We start from the raw sequence: 22,549 nt of genomic DNA, 5'->3' as shown, positions 1-22,549 counted from the left end.
CGCCACTGCACTCCAGCCTAGGAGTCAGAGTGAGACTCCGTCTCAAAAAAAAAAAAAAAAAAAAAAGATGGCCTCTCAGAAATAGTATAGACACCCATTTGAACCTTAATAAAGTTGAGCTTTTCATGGCCAACTTTTTTGGCGTGTAAAACATAGGACAGCCATGTTTTAAATGAAAAGACCAAAACAAGATTGAATAATGTTATAGAACAATGTACATCACTGGTCTGACATGACTAAATGATTGCCTACTTAGAGTATAATTGAAGAAAGATAAATGAAAAGGACTAAAAGAGTTGTATTCATGTATTTTCATACACTGGCATTCTACCAGGTAATATAAGCTCAGTAAAGTAAATCTTATGTTAATGTCTGTTCCTTGAGAGTTAAGACGACTCAAGGTCTTTATAGTGCTCTGATACACTGAAATCGATGAGCTGTATGTTGTGACTCAAGATTGTATTCTTACATGTCAGCTTTTTAATGTAGTGAAACAGTTCTTAACCAGGCAGTCATTCTAATTTGCCTGCATGCTAGGAGAAATTCCCATATTTTTGCATAAATCATTTGTTAAGATTTATTAGGCCACTTGTATAACTATATTTTGGCTTGTCTTTTCAATTGATTTTTAAAATTTACAAAATCGAACATAGCCAAGAATGAAGGCAGAGACCTAGAGTGATGAGGAAAACTAAAAATAAACCCATTTCACTTGTGTTGGCCAGCTGATAAGAGAAAATTGCCCAACTAGAGAAGGTTGATTCATGAAATATTTGGGTACTTCATCCAGAACCTAGGGCATCTCTTTTGTCCATTTCACTATGACTCTTCCATGATCAAGGATAGCCCACATTTTTCAGAAATGGGCACCACCTTTACCAATGCTTGAAATGCAAGTGAATGATCAGGAGGGAACCTTGCCATGGGACCTTGTCCCAGATGGAACTACCATGGCGAGTAGTCTGATGCTTCTAGTGTGACACTTACTTGGAGAGGCATCCAAGATAGGCCTTTTATTAAATACAGGCTTGGCCGGGTGCAGTGGCTCACACCTGTAATCCTAGCACTTTGGGAGGCCAAAGTGGGTGGATCACCTGAGGTCAGGGGTTCGAGACCAGCCTGGCCAACATGGCGAAACCTCGTCTCTACTAAAAATACGAAAATTATCCAGGCGTGGTGACGCATGCCTGTAATCCCAGCTTCTTGGGAGGCTGAGGCAGGAGAATCGCTTGAACCCAGGAGGCAGAGGTTGCAGTGAGCCGCGATCGCACCATTGCACTCCAGCCTGGGCAACAGAGTAAGACTCCATCTTAAAACTAAATACATACATACGTGCATACATGCATACATACATACATACAGCTTTAGGGTAAATTGTCTTTTTTTTTTTTTTTTTTGAGACAGAATCTTGCTCTTGTCACCCAGGCTGGAGTGCAGTGGCGCGATCTCGGCTCACTGCAACCTCCGCCTCCCAGGTTCAAGCAATTCTCCTGCCTCAGCCTCCTGAGTAGCTGGGATTACAGGCACCTGCCACCACGCCCAGCTAATTTTTGTACTTTTAGTAGAGACGGGGGTTTCGCCATGTTGGCCAGGCTGGTCGCAAACTCCTGACCTCAGGTGATCCGCCTGCTTCAGCCTCCCAAAGTGCTGGGATTACAGGAGTCAACCACCGCGCCCGGCCAGGTAAATGGTCTTTTTTAACTGGTCATATTTTAGATTTGGATTTAATCCTCTATAAACTTCAGAATTAAGAGAAAATGAAATGCTCCAGGGAGTAGTATTTCCCACTTAGAACATACAGCATATTTGCACTTCTTTTGTATGTCAAATAACTTGCTTTGTTTCTGTGGAAGCCAAGAAGTTTCTATCTTTCCAACCCTGCTTTCTAACATAAAATAGGAAAAATAGGGGTTTAGGAATATAAAATGTTTGGATATGAATCTTATCTGTTAGATAGTACTGAGTTATGTAGTTCTAGAACTATTGGATGTTTCTGGTTAGAAGGAAGTTTCTTTAGTTTATTTAACACTGCTGTGGAGTCAGCACATGCAGTCGCCAAATCAGTTAGATTAGAACCTACAGAGATCTCGGTAACAGGAGCACTGAGTGCTAGAAGGTTTAAAATAGATGTCATATGATACCAATTATAACTCAGTGAAATTTTACAGTCCTAGGACCCTATACAGAGCATAAGCCAAAATGGAAGATGGTCCTGTTTTCTATGGCTTTAAAAACATTTTTATTACAATGTTTGCTACGTTTTTTTTCTTTAAGCTTTTAATTAAAGTTTTTTTGGCTCTCCTAACCCATTTCTATATCGTCAAAGGAAATAGAAAAGAAGCGGCTAGGATAGCAGAAGAGATCTATGGTGGAATTTCAGGTAAAAGTACATGAATTTGTTCCTAATATTTAAAGAAAATCCCTCCTAGATAATTCATATGACTAGTATTTCTGGAAGGCAGATTATATTTATACTTTGATTTTAAGTGGGTAGTTTGAAAAATTGTCACTTAAAGTAGCAAATGCTGTTGGCTGCATCAATTTGTGGAGGATTTTCAGCTTTATTTTTTGCAAGTTCGTAGATCTTGTAGCAGTTGTTATTTAAGAAGTAAATAGGTAGTGGCTTACTAAGAGTATTTTGAGAAACTTCATTTCTACTAGCCAAAGTAATTACTTGTATATAATTATTTTCTTTAATATTTTAAAGCAAACTTTAACAATGAAGGGCATTCTAACCAGACTAAATTCTCTCAGGAAATAGAATGACTAATAAATTATAATTAAAGCAGCAAACGTGGCAAGCTATGTGTATTTTTTTTGCTGTCATTTGCAACTGGAATTGATTAACCACTTGTCACTGTCAGGAAAAGCTCTTCACTAAACCCATTTTATATGGTAGCATGCAAAGCACTCCAAACAAAGTTTATTCTAACATGAAATGCCAAGATTTGGGCAAAACATTTTAAATTCTCATGCTTTGTAGAGAATAGTGTCCATTTCTTTCAAGAAATGATTTACTTTAATTGTGGTGAGATGCTACAAAAGTAAATGAGTCAGATATCCCTGTCACTCCTGGGATTGTCACTTAATAGAGGAGTATTTATTCATAAACAGAGTTCAGAATTTCCCCGTGTATTTTTAGTGTTTGCAGGGGTTCCAGGATTACATCATTCTTTATCTAGTATCCATTTCAATTTGCATCCAGGATTCTCTTTCAAAATAGTCTTATGTGATTCCAATACACTAGACAACTCAGAAGACACTAGACAACAGCAGTCTTATCTAAAGAAATAAGACCTCCAAGGACGAAGCATCAGAATGCTTCAATTAACTGGGGAAAATGAGAAGAATTGTGAAGTTTCAGAACGTATCAGAAGGTCCGGACCATGGAAAGAGATTTCTTTTGGGGATTATATTTGTCACACATTTCAGGGAGGTATGTTACTTTGACTAGTTACAAAAAAAAAAAAAAAAAGTAATGCTTCTGATAAGTTTCAAGTTAAGCATGATCTGAAAAGTTATCTTCTAATTTAATTTGTCAATTTGGGCAAGGGCTTTCTAAAATTTTCAATAATAGTTTTGGTGTTCTCATAGATAAATCATTCTTCTGGTCTAAATTAGATGAAGTCCAACAAAGTCAATATTGGCAAGAACATGTTACAAATGTTTTCTCCTGTTGCACCTGCGCATTATTTCTGTCTTTGTGGTCTTTAATTAAGTGCACTCTTTTTTTTTTTTTTTTTTTTTGAGATGGAGTCTCGCTCTGTAGCCTAGGCTGGAGTGCAGTGGCACCATCTCGGCTCACTGCAACCTCCGCCTCCCAGGTCCCGGTTGAAGCAATTCTCCTGTCTTAGCCTCCTGAGTAGCTGGGATTACAGGCACACGCCACCATGCCCAGCTAATTTTTTTGTATTTTTAGTAGAGACAGGGTTTCACCATGTTGGCCAGGCTGGTCTTGAACTCCTGACCTCATGATCCGCCCGCCTCGGCCTCGCAAAGTGCTGGGATTACAGGCGTGAGCCACCGCGCCCGGCCTCAAGTGCACTCTTAAAAAAGGTATAAAACCTCCTTATAGTCAAAACCCATGTAAGCATGGTTTGAATTTAATCTGGAGCTGGAATACAAATCTCTTAAATACAGTTCGTTCATTCTGTAGTGCAAATATCTTTACTTGTTCAATCTCTTAAAATAGGTTAATTTGCAAGTAGCATAGTATTCTAAGGTCAAAAACATTTTTCAATTATTGTTAAAGAGGCAGGGAATGGTGCATGTTAATTTCCCAGTTTTATTTCTTTCATATATATATGTATATGTGTGTGTGTGTGTGTATACATATACACGAATCCCCCCACCCCCAAATTTACCAAGATTTGGTAAATAAGACTTTCTGTTTTTTTGTTTGTTTTGAGATGGATTCTTGCTCTGTCACCCAGGCTGGAGTTCAGTGGCACGATCTTAGCTCAGTGCAACCTCCTCCTCTGGGGTTCAAGCAATTCTCGTGCCTCAGCCTCCTGAGTAGCTGGGATTATAGGCGCACGCCACCACGCCCGGCTAATTTTTGTATTTTTAGTAGAGATGGGGTTTCGCTATGTTGGCCAGGCTGGTCTCGAACTCCTGACCTCAAGTGATCTGCCCACCTTGGCCTCCCAAAGTGCTGGGATTATAGGTGTGAGCACCTGTGCCTGGCCGCTAAATAAGTCTTTCTATAAGAATGTAGGCAGTAACATGCCTGGACCAGTATTTTTCACATGGTTCTGTGTTTTTCTTTTGATACCACTGTTAACAGTCAGATACTATATTATTACAAATCTTCCCCCGCCCCACAAAATACTTAAAAAATAACAACTCTTTATTCAAAACCCAGTCCTTTAAATATTAATGCAACTAGGCCAATACACCTAAACAATAAATCCTCCTCAACCCCTCAGTCTCTCTAATTCCTAAATTATCCCATAACAATATATTTAGGTGTATTAAAAATCAAGAACAAAATTTTGTGGAAGTGTTAAACTCAAACCAGAAATCAAACTCAAACCAGAAATCACCTTTGCTTTTGGTCACTTTTGCACTGGTCAGACAAATGTTTGTTGGGAAAATATATGACATTTAATCAGTAAATTAGCTAATTGACTTACAAAAGTCCCAGCCCAAGGTTAAGTTTCTTGAGTCTGCTAGCATATGCTATTCCTGTAAACTATTGTCAGCAATGTCAAAAGCAAGGAAGGGCAGGAAAAACCTAGCCAGCACACAGGTTAGACTTTTGTAGGTCCAGAGCACTCTTTTTTTTTTTTTTTTTTGGAAGCTGCATTTAACACCACATGCCTCATTAAATATCATTCTTTGTGCTGTAAAACCTTTTGGAAAGTTGTTTTTTTTTTTTTTTTTTTGTGCAGTGGGCGGGTGGGGGTGGATTTCATAGTCTGGAATACATTATTTTATATGTCTTTGTGGCTTAAACTATTACATTTGCTGATCACTCATCATAGTTGAATTAAGCCATGGTTGACTGTTATTAGTTTTGGTTTTTAAGCTTCTTTGTTTATTTTGTCTATTATATGTATATTTTTTTTTCTTTTTTAAAGTTTAATACATTGTCCTTGGCCTTTGGTGTTATGCCTAGAGCACCAGATGGATCACTGGATCCCACCTTCAGTCCATAGATATTTCTGCAGGCACTTTCTCAGGAGAGATGTATTGTATGATTTTTCAAGCTTTGCTAATTTGTATTAAGCTATGTTTAGTACTGTGACTTGGTCATCAAGAAAGAAAATATAGTGTAGATACAGATTGATCATCTGTTATTCATAACCCTTCAGCCAGCCATGTTTCAGAATTCAATAGCTTTTGAATGTTAGAAAGATCATACAATGTGCATACTGTCTATTGCACAGCACTTCTGGTGGGGCCTGGAGCTGCCTCCCACAGTCAAACATTTTGATCTTTCTATAGTGAACATATAGGTATTCACACTAGATGGAAATATAAAACAAATAATAAATTGCTTAACCTAAGTCCTGGCCATGCTTTGCTGCTAAACAAGTTTGCATCAAATTTGGGGTAAAGCTTGGTTTTCAGAATTGGAGGAACTTTACAAGTGCAGATAAGACGTTGTAGAACTGTAGTGCCCTCTTTCAAAAAAAAAAAGGGCTATTTTAAGCTGTGTCTAAAAGATCAGTCCTATTCTAAGTTTTATGCTTAAAATCACTTGTTGATGGACTGACCATGATTTGACAGCTATGCCTCTGCCTAACTCAGCATTCTGAATCCTTTTTCCTGTCTTTTCCATTCCAATAGGATCGCCTTAGTTTCATTCTTGCCCAAACCTCGACCTAGCCTTCTGCTCTTATTTAGTTTTGCTGGTTGTCTCCACAAACATTGGCCTAACCATCCTCTAAGTTGCATATCAGGTGCCTGCTGGCTTTTCCTAGGTTGGGACAACCAGTCCTTGGCAGAGGCTCTACCTTCCACCAGTCTCCTTTAGCTCAGCTCTCCCGCCCTTAAGAGTTCAAAGGAGCCTTCTTTCTAATACACTGCAACATAGTTAATTGTGTCTAACACAGCTCACTGTGTCTCATCTCCTCTCTAGGACTGGACATTCTGGAGAATATTTATTTTAACTCAGTTTTATTACAATATTTTAGATATCTCAGGAAATACATTCTATTTTCCCAGTTACCTTTGTTTCACATAAAATACCATTAATTCTGCTAGGCTCTTGCCTGTATTTTGGTTCAAAATTAAAATTCCTTATGAATTTTCTTTTCCTTAATAAATGCTACAGAAGATTTGTTTCATATGATTTTATTTTTTATTTTTTGAGTTGGAGTTTCGCTCTTATTGCCCAAGCTGGAGTGCAGTGATGTGATCTCGGCTCACTGCAACCTCTGCCTCCTGGGTTCAAGTGATTCTCCTGCCTCAGCCTGCTGAGTAGCTGGGAGTACAGGCGCCCGCCACCACACTGGCTAATTTTTGTATTTTTAGTAGAGACAGGGTTTCACCATGTTGGCCAGGCTGGTCTCGAACTCCTGACCTTAGGTTATCCACCTGCCTTGGCCTCCCAAAGTGCTGGGATTACAGGCATAAGCCACCGCGCCCGGCTGTTGGGTCATCTTTTTAAATAAAAAAACAGTAATCTGAAATACTTGTTGAAATTAGAGTAAAAATTACAAAAACAGTTTAATCGTTTTTTATCTCAAATGGTTGGAACTTAGACAGCTGTACTCCATCTGAACCAATGTTATTGAAATATATACGGTTTTAGAAGTTGTTGTGAAGTTGTCATTCAAACAGTCTGAGATACAAATCACATTCTGAGAAAAATTCAAAGGGGGAAATGAAAAAGCACTTGAACATTTTCCGTACACCTCATCAGGAATAAGCAAACATATTTGTAGAGTAAACTATCTTCATAATGTGTTTGCAGCCCTGTGACACGGGCGATCTGCCAAAAAACTAAAAATAGATTGCCTTAGAAGAGAATGATTGAGTCCTACTTAAGCATTCATTTATTTGGAGAGCTCAGTTGCATACTTCCTGAAGGGAATGGAAAAACTCCCAAGCTGCCAAGTAACTTTTATCCTCAATTTCTCACAATTAGCTCCAGTTTGCAAAATGAGAATGGTAAGAGTGAGAGACTCTGTTGGGAACAAGGATAGAAAAGCAGGAGACCCCACTGTGGCAGTTTCTGGAAAAGGGTTCTGTGTGAAAACCCTTGAAGGTCCTTTGAAGCAAGTTCTGGGAAATGATGGAACTAGAAAGGCTACTTTCTTGAGAGTTACTTCGTTTCCAGTTGGGAAACAAAAAGGACTTCTACTTTTTTTTTTTTTTTTTTTTTTTTGAGACGGAGTCTTGCTCTGTCGCCCAGGCTGGAGTGCAGTGGCGCGATCTCGGCTCACTGCGAGCTCCGTCTCTCGGGTTCACACCATTCTCCTGCCTCAGCCTCCCAGGTAGCTGGGACTACAGGCGCCCGCCACCACGCCTGGCTAATTTTTTTGTACATTTAGTAGAGATGGGGTTTCACCATGTTAGCCAGGATGGTCTCGATCTCCTGACCTCGTGATCCACCCGCCTCAGTCTCCCAAAGTGCTGGGATTACAGGCGTGAGCCACTGCACCCAGCCCTGGATCTCTACTTTTAGGGTGGTACAATTGGTTTATTTCACACCATTTATAGCAGTGGTCCCCAACCTTCTTGGCACCAGGGACTGGTTTCATGGAAGACAATTTCTCCATGGACCAGGGTGTGGGGGGATGGTTTTGGGATGATTCTTGTGCATTACATTTATTGTGCACTTTATTTGTATTATTATTACATTGTAATATATAATCAAATAATTATACAACTCACCATAATGTAGAATCTGTGGGAGCCCTGAGCTTGTTTTCCTGCAACTAGATGGTCCCATCTAGGGGTGATGGGAGACAGTGACAGATCATCAGGCATTAGACTCATAAGGAGCGCCCATCCTAGATCCCTTGTATGTTCAGTTCACACTCTTCTAAGAATCTAGTGCCACTGATGATCTGACAGGAGGCAGAGCTCAGGAGGTAATGCAAGCAAAGGGGAGTGGCTGTAAATACAGAAGAAGCATCCGGGCACAGTGGCTCATGCCTGTAATGCCAGCATTTTGGGAGGCCGAGGCAAGTGGATCACTTGAGGTCAGGAGTTCAAGACCAGCCTGGGCAACATGGCGAAATCCCGTCTCTACTAAAAATACTAAAATTAGCTGGGAGTGGTGATGTGTGTCTGTAGTCCCAGCTACTCGGGAGGCTGAGGCCAGAGAATCTCTTGAACCTGGGAGGCAGAGGTTGCAGTAAGCTGAGATTGCACCACTGCACTCCAGCCTAGGGGACAGAGCGAGACTCCATCTCAAAAAAGAAAAATACAGAAGAAGCTTCACTTGCTCACCTGCTGCTCACTTCCTGCTGTGCAGCCCGGTTCCTAACAGGCCACGGAATGGCCCAGGGGTTAGGGACCCCTGATTTATAAAGAGGAGGTGGATGTCAGAGCAACCCAAGACAAGTCAATCTACCACGAGAATAAGGAGAAATTAAAAACCAATAGTTCTTAAAACCAGAACAAGGTGTGTTCTAAAGTCCCCATAACTAGGGTTTCAGTCCTATTTCTGATACTTCCTAGCCATGAGACAGCTTCATGTGGAGCAGTGGTTGTCATGCATTTTGGGGTGTTACCATTCAGCAAAGCAAGGCTTTTCCCCCCTTCACTGGAAGCTATGGGATGGGTACTCTGGGAGCAATACAAGTTTAGATAAGGGGCATTCAAAAGGAGGGGAGCCTGGAATTTCACTCTCAAGTTGGAAATCTGCTTAGAGAGACAACTTGCTGAACCCCCCATGCCAGATGAATATGAGGAAGAGAATTGGAAAGCAGCAATGTGGTGAGGGAGAAGCCCAGGACAACCACCATTCCCTCTTTCTTGGTGGAATGAAAGATGGCACCACAGGCTTGTTAACCTTGATCTCAGAGGCACAGGATCAGAGTTGGGGACATCAGAGGATGCTGCAGTGATGACAGACACTAGGAGAGGTGGCCAAATGCCAATGGGTAGAAAAGGTACATGGGTGTAAGCCCCAGTGTGAAGGGCATGCCACAGACCTGGAGTGAGGCCTGCAGTTGAGACTGATCAAGCAGGACCAGCCTCCTCTTCCAGTTAACACTTCCCATCCCATTTCCCTTTCCTGTCCCTCTTGTTTCTCCCCACTCCCAAGGCACTAAAGGGTTGGACCCTAGAAGAAGGAGGTGGGAAGCATGTGAAGAACATGCTGCCCTTCTGTCTCCAGCTGCTGGGTGGGCTGGAGAAGGCCATACCCTGCCCTGGGAGTGGGAAAAGGCCAGGAGCTGTGAAGAGGATCAGAGATTACAGCTAGAAAGAGGGCTAGTCTGTGTTACTTTAGAAACTCTTCATGAAAGTATGATGTAAATACAGAGACATGCACAAATCCTAAGTGAACAACTGCATGAATTTTCACAAAGTGAACACAGTCAGGAACCAGCACCTAAGAGCAAGAAATTGCATATTATCAGCATGGCCCCCACCATGCCCTCTTGCAAACAGTCCTCACCCCTCCTCGGGGTGCTTTTGACTCCTAACACCCAAGGCAAGTTTCCCTTCCTTGTGTACTTTATAGCAGGGGTCTCCAACCCCCAGGCCACAGACCAGTACCAGTCCATGGCCTGTTAGGAACTGGGCCATACAGCAGGAGGTGAGCGGCAGGTGAGGGACATTACTGCTTGAGCTCCGCCTTCTGTCAGATCAGTGGTGGCATTAGATTCTCATAGGAGTGTGAGCCCTATTGTGAACTGCACATGCAAGGGACCTAGATTACATTCTCTTTATGAGAATCTAATGCCTGATGATCTGAGGTGGTACAGTGTCATCCTGAAACCATCCCCTGCCCACCCTCATCTGTGGAAAAATTGTCTTCCATGAAACCAGTCCTTGGTGGCAAAAAGGTTGGGGACTGCTGCTTTATAGAAACCAAATCACACGGTACATGTTCTTTTGTGTCTGGCTTCTTTCACTCAACATTAGGTTTGTGAGATTTATCCATGTTGTGTATATGACTTGAGTCTAATGGGACTGATAAGTAACGGAAAGTTACTAGAAAATGAGGATCACCACAGCCCACTTGGAGACAAGTTTTAGAAATAATGAAAACATTCGTGTTGATAACCTATGTTAACTCTTTTAATTGCAAGTTGCCACTTAAATCCTGTCTTTATTTTTAAATGGAATACTTACAGTACCTTCAAGTGACTCAGGTTGACTGGTTATTGTCAGAACAATGAAATGACAAAGCCACAGTTATGGGTTTGCCTCTTCCATTGGTCAGGGTGCCGAGCTGGCAGCCATGGGTAAAGACTGTCCTACCAACCCCAGTGCATGCATTCACTTCCAAGAGCAACTAGGCAAGAGCGTAACATGTCTGAAGTACATTTCATATTGAATGAGATGCAGACATATTAGAGGAAAAGCCTCACTAATTGGTAATTATATGCATACATTGTCTCATTATTTCCAGTTTATGCAAATTATAAATATCCAAAGAGTTGTTGTTGTTGTTGTTGTTGTTGTTGTTGTTTGAGACAAAGTGTCACTGTGTCACCCAAGCTGGAGTGCAATGGCGTGATCTTGGCTCACTGCAGCCTCCACCTCCCGGGTTCAAGTGATTCTCCTGCCTCAGCCTCCCAAGTAGCTGGGATTACAGGCGCCTACCACCGTGCCAGGCTAATTTTTATATTTTTAGTAGAGATGGGGTTTCATGTTGGCCAGGCTGGTTTCAAACTCCTGACCTCAGGTGATCCACCTGCCTCAGCCTCCCAAAGTGCTGGGATTACAGCGTGAGCCACTGCACCCGGCCTCAAAGAGAGTTTAAAATATTCTACTTGTCAGCTTTCAACCAACTAAAGACAAGGGTAAATACAAATGCAATATATGCTCATGTTAAAAATTTTTATCTGTTTTTGAAATACCATTCGACTCAGCAATCCCATTACTGGGTATATACCTAAAGGCATATGAATTGTTCTGTTATAAGGACACATACGTGCATATGTTCATTACAGCACTAATCACAATAACAAAGACATGGACTCAACCCAAATGCCCATCAATGACAGACTGGGTAAAGAAAATGTGGTACATATACATTATGCAATACTATGTAGTCATAAAAAAGAATGAGATCATGTCCTTTGCAGAGACATGGATGGAGCTGGAGGCCATTATCCTTAGAAAACTAACAGGAACAGAAAACCAAATGCCACATGTTCTCACTTATAAGTGGAGCTAAATGATGAGAACACATGGACACGTAGAGGGGAACAACATACACTGGGGCCTATTGGAGGGTGGAGGGTAGGAGGAGTGAGACGATCAGGAAAAATAACTAAAGGATACTAGGCTTAATACCTGGGTGATGAAATACTCTGTAAAACAAACCCCCATGGCACAAGTTTACCTATGGAACAAACCTGCACATCCTGCACATGTACCCCTGAACTTAAGATAAAAGTCAAAAAACATAAAATTGATGATGTCTATTGCATATAATTATTTTCTTTGGAAAATTTTTTATCTGTTTTTCTTTGTTATTATAAAAAGCAATACACATTCATATCAGGAGTATGGGATCACCAGTGATTCTATCTATCTATCTATCTATCTATCTATCTATCTATCTATCTAATCTTTTTTTTTCTTGTTAAAATGTTTGGAAATAATTTCAGCCGACAGAAAAGTTACAAGAACAGTACAAAAAAATTCCTGCTTCTCTTCACCCAGAGACTCCATTCATGTTTAGCCAACGGTCCTAATAATGTCCTTTATAGCAAAAGGATCAGGTGTCTTGCCTTTAGATAGCGCGTTTCGTCATCCCTTTCAATCTGGAACTGTTCCTCAGTCTCTCCAATTATTTTGTAAAATGTCCCCTCAGTTTGGGTTGGTGCACAGTTTCCTCCTTATCAGATTTTGGTTATGCATTTTGGGCAGAAATATCACAGAAGCGGTGGTGTGTTCTTCTCATTATGTTTCTTCTTATGGCACATGATGTTGCTCATCGCATTCCATCAGATGACAATCTGTTCCATCACTGGTGTTAACTTTGCTGATGTTAACTTTGATCACTTGGGCAAAGTGATGTCTACAATTCTGTTCTATAAAATTATCCCTGTTCCTTTTCTAGTTAGTCATTATTTTGCAGGGAGATGAGTTGAAGCTGATTCTATTATTTCTTCAATTTCTAAGTTGGGATTTTATTATAAGGAAGCACTTTCTCTTCTCTGTCTTTATATATTCATTTATATCAGTGAGGACTTCTAGATTACCATTTTATTTGATAAGATATAATCTCTTATTGTTTATTTTGAAATCAGGTTTTCCCATATTTGGCCAATGGAAGCCCCATCAAGCCAGCATCTGTGTCTTTTTGTCACCCAGGCCAGAGTACAGTGGCATAATCTTAGCTCACTGCAACCTCTGCCTCCCGGGTTCAAGCGATTCTTCTGCCTCAGCCTCCTGAGTAGCTGGCACTACAGGCGTGCACCACCACACCCTAATTTTTGTATTTTTATCAGAGACAGGGTTTCACCATGCTGGCCAGGCTGGTCTCGAACTCCTAACCTCGTGATCTGCCCGCCTCAGCTTCCCAAAGTGCTGGGATTACAGGCGTGAGCCTGGCCAGCACTTTCTTACTTTCTTGGAAGATGTTTAAGGCCCATCTTGTATTTTACCTGGCCCAGACCTGGGATCAACATTTCTCTAAGGAGTCCGGGTTCAGGTTTTCTCAGTGCACCATGCTAAAAAAAAATACGTATATACGCACATCTATGTTTTACATTTAAATTTACTTTTATATCTAGATATATTGAAAATCACATTTTCATGCTAATTGCTCCAATATCAATCCAACCTCGTAAAGTGCATTCAAGTTTCCCCCATTTTCAGAACCCAAAGGGTGAGAGAAGTTCATACATTGAGTTTCAGTGTAGGAGGAGGGCTTATTGAAATGTTTCTAACCCTGATTCTCATCCACTGGAAAAATTCTTTCTTTCCTTAAGGCCTTCAGTTATTTCAAATTCACACAATTCCATTTTTGCTGGGATTTTCGTTTCACCAAGTTTATAGGTATGGAAACCTGAGTTTTTAACACCATCAGGATCACCCACAAGAGGTTGAGGAGCCTTTGTGTTAAATCCAAATTATATTACATTCTATTCAGTGCATGAAAAGCACAACCATAATGTGAAAAAGTCCTACATTTTGCAAACTGGAGTAGGTTTTCTTCCAAAACAATTGATTGCCCTTTGGCAGGTTTAATGGGGGGTTACTTCTCAAATGCTCATTTAAACTAGTTAGTCTTGTTTGCAGATAAGCAATTATAAGAAAAATATGTCTGGAAGGCGGCTCTAAGGCTGTTCCTTATGGCACTGCTCTACTGTGCCTACTTATTAATCATACAATGTCCGGAGCACTTAACATCGCGGTTGTATTTGATTGGCCTACTTAGAGACCAATGCACTTGACAAATATCAGATTATTATATTTCCATCTTACCAGTAAGGAAACTGGGGTTCAAGTAATTTTGGTAACTTGCTGAATTTGGCAGAGAAAGTGATCAAGGTAGGACTTGAACCCTAGCAGTCTGGCTCCACTGGCCCATGCTCAGTCATCACACTAAGCTGCCCACAACAAAGCTTTTAGGGAAAAACTTTTGGGAGATTAAATTGTCTGAAAAATGACATTCTGCAGTATAATAGATATGTCTTCATTATCAAATGAAGCAGATAAAATTACCTAGAGAATTTGGGGAAAAAAACATTTTCACTGATCCCTCAGAGCAAGCTTGTCCAACTCGTGGCCCAGGATGGCTGTGAATGTGGCCCAACACAAATTCATAAATTTTCGTAAAACTTACGAGATTTTTTTGTGATTTTTATTTTTTAGCTCATCAGATATTGTTAGTGTTAGTATATTTCATGTGTGGCCCAAGACAATACTCCTTCCAATGCGGCCCAGGGAAACCAAAAGATTGGACACCCCTGCCTTAGAGTCTCCTTCATAATACACAGGCTGTTGAGTCTTTGGGGTGTGGATGAAGGTGGAAGGCAGGGGAAGGATAAAAATGTGGAGGCTCATTGACTTTCTTGGCCCTTCATTTTGCCTTACATAGAGCTATCGGATTCAAGCACTGAGCACTATATTTTTGAACTAAATCTATTGCTTATTAAAATTGCCTCCCAAAAGCCAGAGAGATTGACTGTTCCTTCTCTTGGCACGCACCACCAAACCGTAAAGGACTTTAACATTCAGTAGCTTGTCTCCCTGAAAGTGGCTGACGAGAGAGCCTGATGCGTGATACCTGCTTCCCTCCTCTTCCCTCCTCTTCCCCCAAACCTCCTCTCACAGTGGGTGGGCAGCATGGACAAGTTACAGGAAGAAGTCTCCAGGCCTTGACTTTGAGCTTGATTTGTGTTTCAGATTGCTGGGCTGATCGATCCCCACTTCATGAAGCTGCAGCTCAGGGGCGCTTACTGGCCCTTAAAACTTTAATTGCACAAGTAAGTGAACTGAAGACTTGATCCTTCATGCTTATGCTATAATTACACATCATTCTTTATTAGCTTTGGCTGTAGCAGAGGTGTGGCTCACCCTATCCAGGTCCCACCATTGCCATTCGAGGCACGTATGTCCTCTCATACCTCACTGCCTCTCCTCCTCCTGCCTCTCCTTTCCTGGAGAGCTCCTTCATTTTCAGCCCAGTTCCCTCCTTTTCCTCTGGGCCTTCCTTTACCTCATAAGAAGTTTCCCTATGAGGAATGATAGAGAATGCTCTCAAATGTTTGTTGCACTAACTCACCTCATGCTCTTCCAGCATGCATTAGCACCAGCAGTCCTGAAGCTAAGTTAGTCAGCTATTGCTGCCTAAAAAATGACCTCAAAGCATAATGGCTGAAAACAACAGAAACTTGGATTTTCATGGTTTCTGTGGGCCAGGGAGCAGCTTAGCTAGGTGATTCTGGCTCTGGGTCTCTCACAGGCTGCCACGTGTCAGCCAGGGCTGCAGTCATCTCATGGCTCAAGGCGGGCAGGATCTGCTTTCAAACTCACTCACGTGGTTGTTGGGAAACCTCAATTCCTTGCCACATGAGCCTCTCCACAGGGCTGTGTCATGAGATGGCAGCTGGCTTCTCTCAGAGAGAGTGCAAGAGGTACCTAAGAAGGAAGTCACAGTTGTTTTATAACCTCATCTCCGAAGTGACATTCTGTCACTTCTGCCATATTCTACTCATTAGGTGTGAGTCAACAAGTCCAGCCCACACTCAAGGGGCAGGGATTATACAAGGGAGGCAATACCTGGATTCCAGGATTACTGGGTGCTATCTTAGAGGCTGCCTATCCCAATGATACACTATTTTAAGAACAAGCATTAAAATAGGTTGACAATGGGTAAATCTGACTCCCCAGGGAACATTTATTGAAGTCTTAGTTATGAAGGCTACTTTATTTATATTTATGACTACATCCCCAGCACCTTGAAAAATGAGTAGGGGCCTGGTAAGTATTTGTGAAATGAATGAATGAAAGTGTGCAGGCTCCATTTGCTTTGTATGTTTTAGGGTCTACATTTATACAGAGGAGGTAAGCCATCATGTCTTTCTTCCACAACTAGGCAATCATCTGGCTTTCTTGCTACTTTGAATTTAAACCACTGGGTGCACTGCTCTCTCTCTCTCTTTTTCTTTCTCTCTCTCTCTCTGTCTCTCTCTCTCTGTCTGTGTGTGCATGTGTATGTATTTTTCATTTATTTGTTTTTTGATTTCTCCTTTATGAGTTGTGTTACTTCTTAAAAAGTAGAGGTAAATGGAAATCAGCACTGCCAGCAATGATCAAATGAACTTTGTACCTGATTTTATCACTTGCTTATTTATTTTTAAGTACTTTAAATTGGATGTGATTTGATTATTTTTAATAGGTAATATATTCACATAGTTCAAAAATTACAATTATTTAAAAAGGTGGACTGGCCGGATGTGGTGGCTCACGCCTGTAATCCTAGCACTTTAGGAGGCCAAGGTGGGTGGATCACCTGAGGTCAGGAGTTCGAGACCAGCCTGGGCAACATGGTGAAACCCCATCTGTACTAAAAGTACAAAAATTAGCCAGGCGTGGTGGTGGGCGCCTATAATCCCAGCTACTTGGGAGGCTGAGGCAGGAAAATCGTTTGAACCTGGCGGGGTGGAGGTTGCAGTGAACCGAGATCGCGTCACTTCACTCCAGCCTGGGTGAAAGAGTGAAACTCTGTCTCAATAAAATAAATAAATAAATAAAATTAAAAAGGTGCACAATGAAACGTCTTGCACCCACCTCTTCTCTCTCAGTCTCCCACCCACCTCTTCTCTCTCAGTCTCCCACCTCAATACTTTCATTGGTATATTTTTAATAGGCTTTTTAAATTTTTGTATAATTTTAAAGAAGAGTTGAAAAGGATACAGACAGTTCCCATATACACTGTACCCTTCACCCAACTTCCTTTAATATTGACATCTTACATAGCTATGGTACATTAGTCAAAAATACGAAGTTAACATTGATACAATACCACTGACTAAACTGCACACTATTGTGATTTCACCAGTTTTTCCTCTCATGTCCTATTTCTGTTCCAGGATCCCACATTGCACTAACTATACTTAATAAGCATATTAGCTTCAATAATATGGTTAAATGTGTAAGGGGGCATTCTTTATACAAAAGTTCAACTTTTTCTTTTACACCCCTACTTCTTTACTCTTATACACTGTTAAAAAATGTATTTGTCTACTTTTATAAACTTTATTTTACATTTAGATAATATGATCGATGTGAGTAAAACATTAAACCGATATGAGTAAAACATTAAGCTAATGTGAGTAAATGTGAGTAAAACATTAAACCAAGATTCAGGAGCTCTTGGTTACACTGCTGGCTGTCACTGACAACCAGTCTTAAAAAGTATTTGAACATTCTACTCCTCCATTTTCTCATGCACAATTGAGGTGATCCACTCTAGATGATCTTTCAGGCCTTTCCAGCATCACATTTCTACAATTTCAGGGATTCTGAGATTTTGCACCGTAACAGTTTTTTCTAGCACACTTCTGCCACCTTGTGGACTAGTCTGTTTTTTCTTATTTTCTCAAAAGGAAAAGAAAAATGAAAAGACTTTTTCTAACTCTTATTAGATGCCCAGTTTGAAATATGTAGCACAGATCTAGAGTAATGATGTCATATTCAGGACATGAAAATAGACAGAATTCAGGAGTCAAAAAGAGGCCTTATGATGAAGGGACAATTCTGGGAAATCACAGCTGCTGGCCACAGCAAGGATGCAGCCAGAGATCTGGCAGGAGATGGTGGCCGTGTAAGTAGGAGTTCGGGGTTCAGGGTCATGGCATTGGGTTTTGGAAGCTTTCAGTTGGTCAGTTACAAGGCATAGGATCAAAAGCAGGACTCGGCTGGGAAGGACAGACCAGGGACCTAATTCCTTTTATAAATCAAAAATAAAATTCTAAGCACCCCCTCTCCAACCATCTGAATGTACCCCTCCTCTCAGCCAGGGCATTCCAAAACTAACCTGAAAAACTGGTTCAGGCCATGACAGGAAAGGGGGGTTGAACATGCCTCATTATACCCTCCTCCCTTTTGGAACTCAGGAAAAGATGACCAGAATTTAACATCAACACAGACCTTAAGTCTGATAAGAAACATTTACAATCTATTCTCTCTGAAGCCTGCTACCTGGAGGCTTCATCCACATGATAAAACTTTTGTCTCCACAACCCCTTATTGTAACCCAGACAGACATTTCTATTGATAATAACTCTTTCAACCAATTGCCAATCAGAAAAATTTTCAATCTGTCTATAATCTGGAGCCCCAGGCCCCCACTTTGAGTTGTCCAACCTTCCCAGGCCAAACAAATGTACATTTTACATGTATTTGATTGATGTCTCATGTTTCCCTAAAATGTATAAAACTAGGCTGTGCCCTGACTACCCTGGGCACATGTTCTCTGGATCTCCTGAGAGCTTGTCACAGGCCATTGGTCACTTATATTTGGCTCAGAATAAATCTCTTCAAATATTTTATAGTTTGACTGTTTTTGTCAACACTTTTGCAGATAGAACGTGATCATCAGAGGGAGGGAAATGGTAAGAGCCAAGTTGTTAAAATCAGGTTATGAAGTCAGAGTTGTCCAGCAGCTAGGCTGACCTTGTCATCTGTCACATGGAGTCCAGGACAAGGAAGGGGACACATGGTAGTATGGGGAGGGAGAATGTGTTAGGACAGGGTGGAGGCACTCATACCTGGGTGAGGAGATGAAGGTTAGGAGAAGTCCGCTGGCCCCGGACTCTAGGACTTCAGAGACCTCTGCACACAGTGGAGTCATGGCTGAAGCAGTGCTGCTACTCCACAGCACATGAATCCTAGGAGCACAGTCTACTTACTCTTAAGCCTGGGAGTTATTGTTTTGTTTCAGATCCAGCTCGACCTCCTGAACTTGTCTGCACTCCATCATCTATACCTCATACCTACTGTTATTCACAGCCACAGCAGGCCCATGCCAGCCTGTTCCTAGACTCATAGTGACATCTCTGTGGCTCTCCTTGCTTTGGTCTTACATCCCTACTCCTGCAATCAACCCTCCATGCTGCTACCAGTAAGCTTCTAAAAAGGCTAATCTATTAGCTCCAGACCCTCCGCAGCCTAGCAGACTTCATAGGTGCTCCATTTCCTCTAAGACATGCCCTCCTTGTTTGGAAATCAAGGCCTTTCATGACCTAGCTCCAGCTTACTGTCCTCCTTTGTCTCCTCCCATCTCCTGCTTCTACTTTCTGTGGGTTCTTTCTGTTCCAGAAATCCGACTGTGGCCCTGCCACAGGAAGCAACAGGAAGCAACAGGAAATAACTTCCTGTTGCTTCCTGAATTTGCAGTTTCTATTCTCTCCTAATGGCATACTCTTTCTTGGTCTTCACAGCTTGAAACATTTTATGCTTCAAGTCTTAGCTAAATACTACCTCATTTGCAAGGTTTTTCTTACTCCCCAAGCCAGATTCAAGGATATCCTATGCTCCCAAACTAATTTTGGACATGCTTCCAGTATAGCAATATTCTTGCTCTTTTGTCTTTCATTTCTGCCTCCCCAGTAGGCTCTGGGAGAAGAGAGACCCATGTCATAAGTTTTGAAGACCCAGGTCCTAGTACATTACCTGCTCCAGAATGCAGAATTAACATTCTTTTGGATAAATGAATGTGAGGCTGTCATGCTGTCTTTAGGCTCCCCTGATCGTAACTTCTACTTCTCTCTCTATGGTACTAATATTACACCCACAGACTGTGAAAATGTCAGAAACATGTGAAACAACATTGCTTTCATTGCTATCACTAATGCAGTATTTCACTCTCTTCTGCTGGGCTTGGTGGCTTGCACTTGAAATCCCAGCTACTCAGGATGCTGAGGCAGGAAGATCACTTGAGGCCAGGAGTTTGAGACCAGCCTGGGCAACACAGTGAGACCCCAGTCTGTAAAAAATAAATAAACTCTCTTCTTTCTAAATTATAGGGTGTCAATGTGAACCTTGTGACAATTAACCGGGTGTCTTCTCTCCACGAGGCATGCCTTGGAGGTCACGTGGCCTGTGCCAAAGCCTTATTGGAAAATGGTGCACACGTGAGTACTGCCCCTGCCCACTTGGGTCTGTCTGGCCAGATGCATCTGTTAATGTTTAATGATAGTTTACCTTCCAGATGGCTTACCCACTGTGGGTAAGGGCTGGGCTGGTTCTATCCATGTCCGTATTCCATCATTTAGGCTACTCCTCTCTCTTCAACTTACCCCCCTGTGTGTAAATATTCAGACATGGCAACTCACAGGAACCTTTTAAAACTGTGTTGCTGACCTTAAGAAATCTTTATTGTACCATGTTTTTTTTTTGTTTTGTTTTGTTTTGTTTTTGAGACGGAGTCTCACTCTGTCGCCCAGGCTGGAGTGCAGTGGCACAATCTCCGCTCACTGCAAGCTCTGCCGGGGTTCACGCCATTCTCCTGCCTCAGCCTCCCCAGCAGCTGGGACTACAGGCACACGCCGCCACGCCCGGCTAATTTTTGTATTTTTAGTAGAGACAGAGTTTCACTGTGTTAGCCAGGATGGTCTTGATCTCCTGACCTTGTGATCCACCTGCCTCGGCCTCCCAAAGTGCTGGGATTACAGGCGTGAGCCACCGCGCCCGGCCTTGTACCATGTTTTCTTTATGCATTCATCTGTTGGTGGACACTTGGGTTGCTTTCAGGTCTTTGCAATTGTGAACAGTGCTGCATCAGACATGGGAGTGCAGATATCTCTTGGATATACTGTTTTCCTTTCTTCTGGGTATATACCCAGCAGTAAGATTGTTGGATCATATGGTATCTCTGTTTTTAGTTTTCTGATGAACCTCCAAACTGTTCCCCATAATGGTTGTACTAATTTATAATCCCACTAACACTGTATGAGGCTTAATAACAAGATTTTAAAGAACAATAGAAAACACTCTTAATTCAACACCTTAAATGAACAACTATTTTTATTGAGCAAAATTATCAAAATGAGCGAGCTTTTAATAAATAATACATTGGGGGAAACCTACAGAATTGAACTTTATCTTATTTTAAATTTATCTCCAAACTTTTTTCAAAGGGTGACTGAGGTGCAATATATAATACAGATATCAGAATAGAATCATAAAATCACAACTTCTAAAAATCTTCTGTGTTTAGTTGCCAGATGTTCTTTGTTTCTAATTTTGTTGTTTAACTCAGTCCTTGCATTATTTACTTTATGAGCTGCAATGTTTTTAAGTGCTTAATGACAATTTAAAACATTTTATATGGAAATCGGGTTTCTACATGTAGAACTGAATATAAAAGTCTTCCTTGTGAAAACTAATTTTCCTGATGCCATTGTGGTCGTGCATTTTCTTTTTTTGTTTTTTTTTTTTCCATCTTTTTATTTTTAGACAGAGTCTCACTAACACTGTTGCCCAAGCTGGAGTGCAGTGGCACAATCTCAGCTCACTGCAAACTCCACTTCCTAGATTCGAACGATTCCCCTGCCTCAGCCTCCTGAGTAACTGGGATTACAGGTGCCCGCCACCACGTCCAGCTAATTTTTGTATTTTTAGTGCAGTAATTTTTGTATTTTTAGTGAAACCAGCGATGCTGGTTTCAGACTCCTGACCTCAGGTGATCCGCCCGCCTTGGCCTCCCAAAGTGCTGGGATTACAGGCGTGAGCCACCGTGCCCTGCCAAGTGGTCATGCATTTTCATTAGGTAGTGCTTCTCTAAGTTACCACTCAGTCAGCTCATGGGTAATGATGAAGGAAGGCTGTGTGAGAGCCGTTTCCTTTCAAGCTAGATGACTGGAGTCACAGGCAGACTGCTGACAATATCAGGTCAGAGAGGAGGTTTTGTTGGGCACAAAGAGAAGAATAAGACATGTTTCCTTGTCTTTGTCAATTTTATAAAGAAACAGCCAATAAATACTGTAGCACACCATTTAACATTTAAATCAGAATGAGAAACGAAATAAGAGAAAGTTGGTCCATCAGTAGAAAGTCCCCCACAATTGGCAGTCCCATGAATACCTCAAACTCAGTGCATTTGTAACTGAGCTTATCATGTTCTTCCCTCTGGGACCTGCTCCTCATCTTGGGTTCCTAGTTTCAGAGGCCTGGTGAAAGAAACATCCTCTTGGTTTCCCAAGCTGCAAACCTGAGAGTCATCTTATTTCTTTCATCTCCCTATCTAATTAATTAAAAACTCCTGCTAATTTTACTTTCTAAGTTTTTCCCAAGTCTATCCTCTCCTTTATCCTACTCCCATAGTCATCTAAATTATTTATTATATTTTCAAAATGATTTCTTTTTGGCCAGGCACAGTGGCTCACGCCTGTAATCCCAGCACTTTGGGAGGCTGAGGCAGGTAGATCATGAGATCAAGAGATCAAGACCA

At 41.4% G+C, this 22,549-nt stretch overlaps 1 protein-coding gene across 3 annotated transcripts in view, besides 1 other annotated feature; it reads left to right on the top strand.

Moving 5' to 3' along the window:
• The window catches only part of ASB11 (ankyrin repeat and SOCS box containing 11), a 33,944-nt gene continuing 13,559 nt past the window's right edge, over window positions 2,165-22,549 (top strand). Inside the window, exons 1-3 of one of the 3 annotated variants that reach the window (NM_001201583.2) lie at window positions 2,165-2,380; window positions 14,998-15,077; window positions 20,175-20,231. In NM_001201583.2, coding sequence (NP_001188512.1) covers window positions 2,200-2,380; window positions 14,998-15,077; window positions 20,175-20,231 — 318 coding nt within the window. In that variant the 5' untranslated portion in view covers window positions 2,165-2,199. Of the gene's footprint in view, window positions 2,381-3,245; window positions 3,437-14,997; window positions 15,078-20,123; window positions 20,232-22,549 lie in introns of those variants that run through there. The other 2 variants (NM_080873.3, NM_001012428.2) reach the window with 2 other exon arrangements.
• Window positions 19,284-19,578: an enhancer, noted in NCBI's record as "tiled region #14330; HepG2 Activating non-DNase unmatched - State 23:Low, and K562 Activating non-DNase unmatched - State 22:ReprW". NCBI's record gives its function as "activates a minimal TATA promoter and a strong SV40 promoter by Sharpr-MPRA in HepG2 and K562 cells {active_cell/tissue: HepG2 | K562}" and the evidence as "EXISTENCE:reporter gene assay evidence [ECO:0000049][PMID:27701403]".

This window comes from Homo sapiens, chromosome X (assembly GCF_000001405.40).
Source record: "Homo sapiens chromosome X, GRCh38.p14 Primary Assembly".
Classification (NCBI taxonomy): domain Eukaryota; kingdom Metazoa; phylum Chordata; class Mammalia; order Primates; family Hominidae; genus Homo; species Homo sapiens.
The sequence above is the reverse complement of the archived record's forward strand: the minus strand, read 5'-3'. Positions and strand labels throughout refer to the sequence as shown.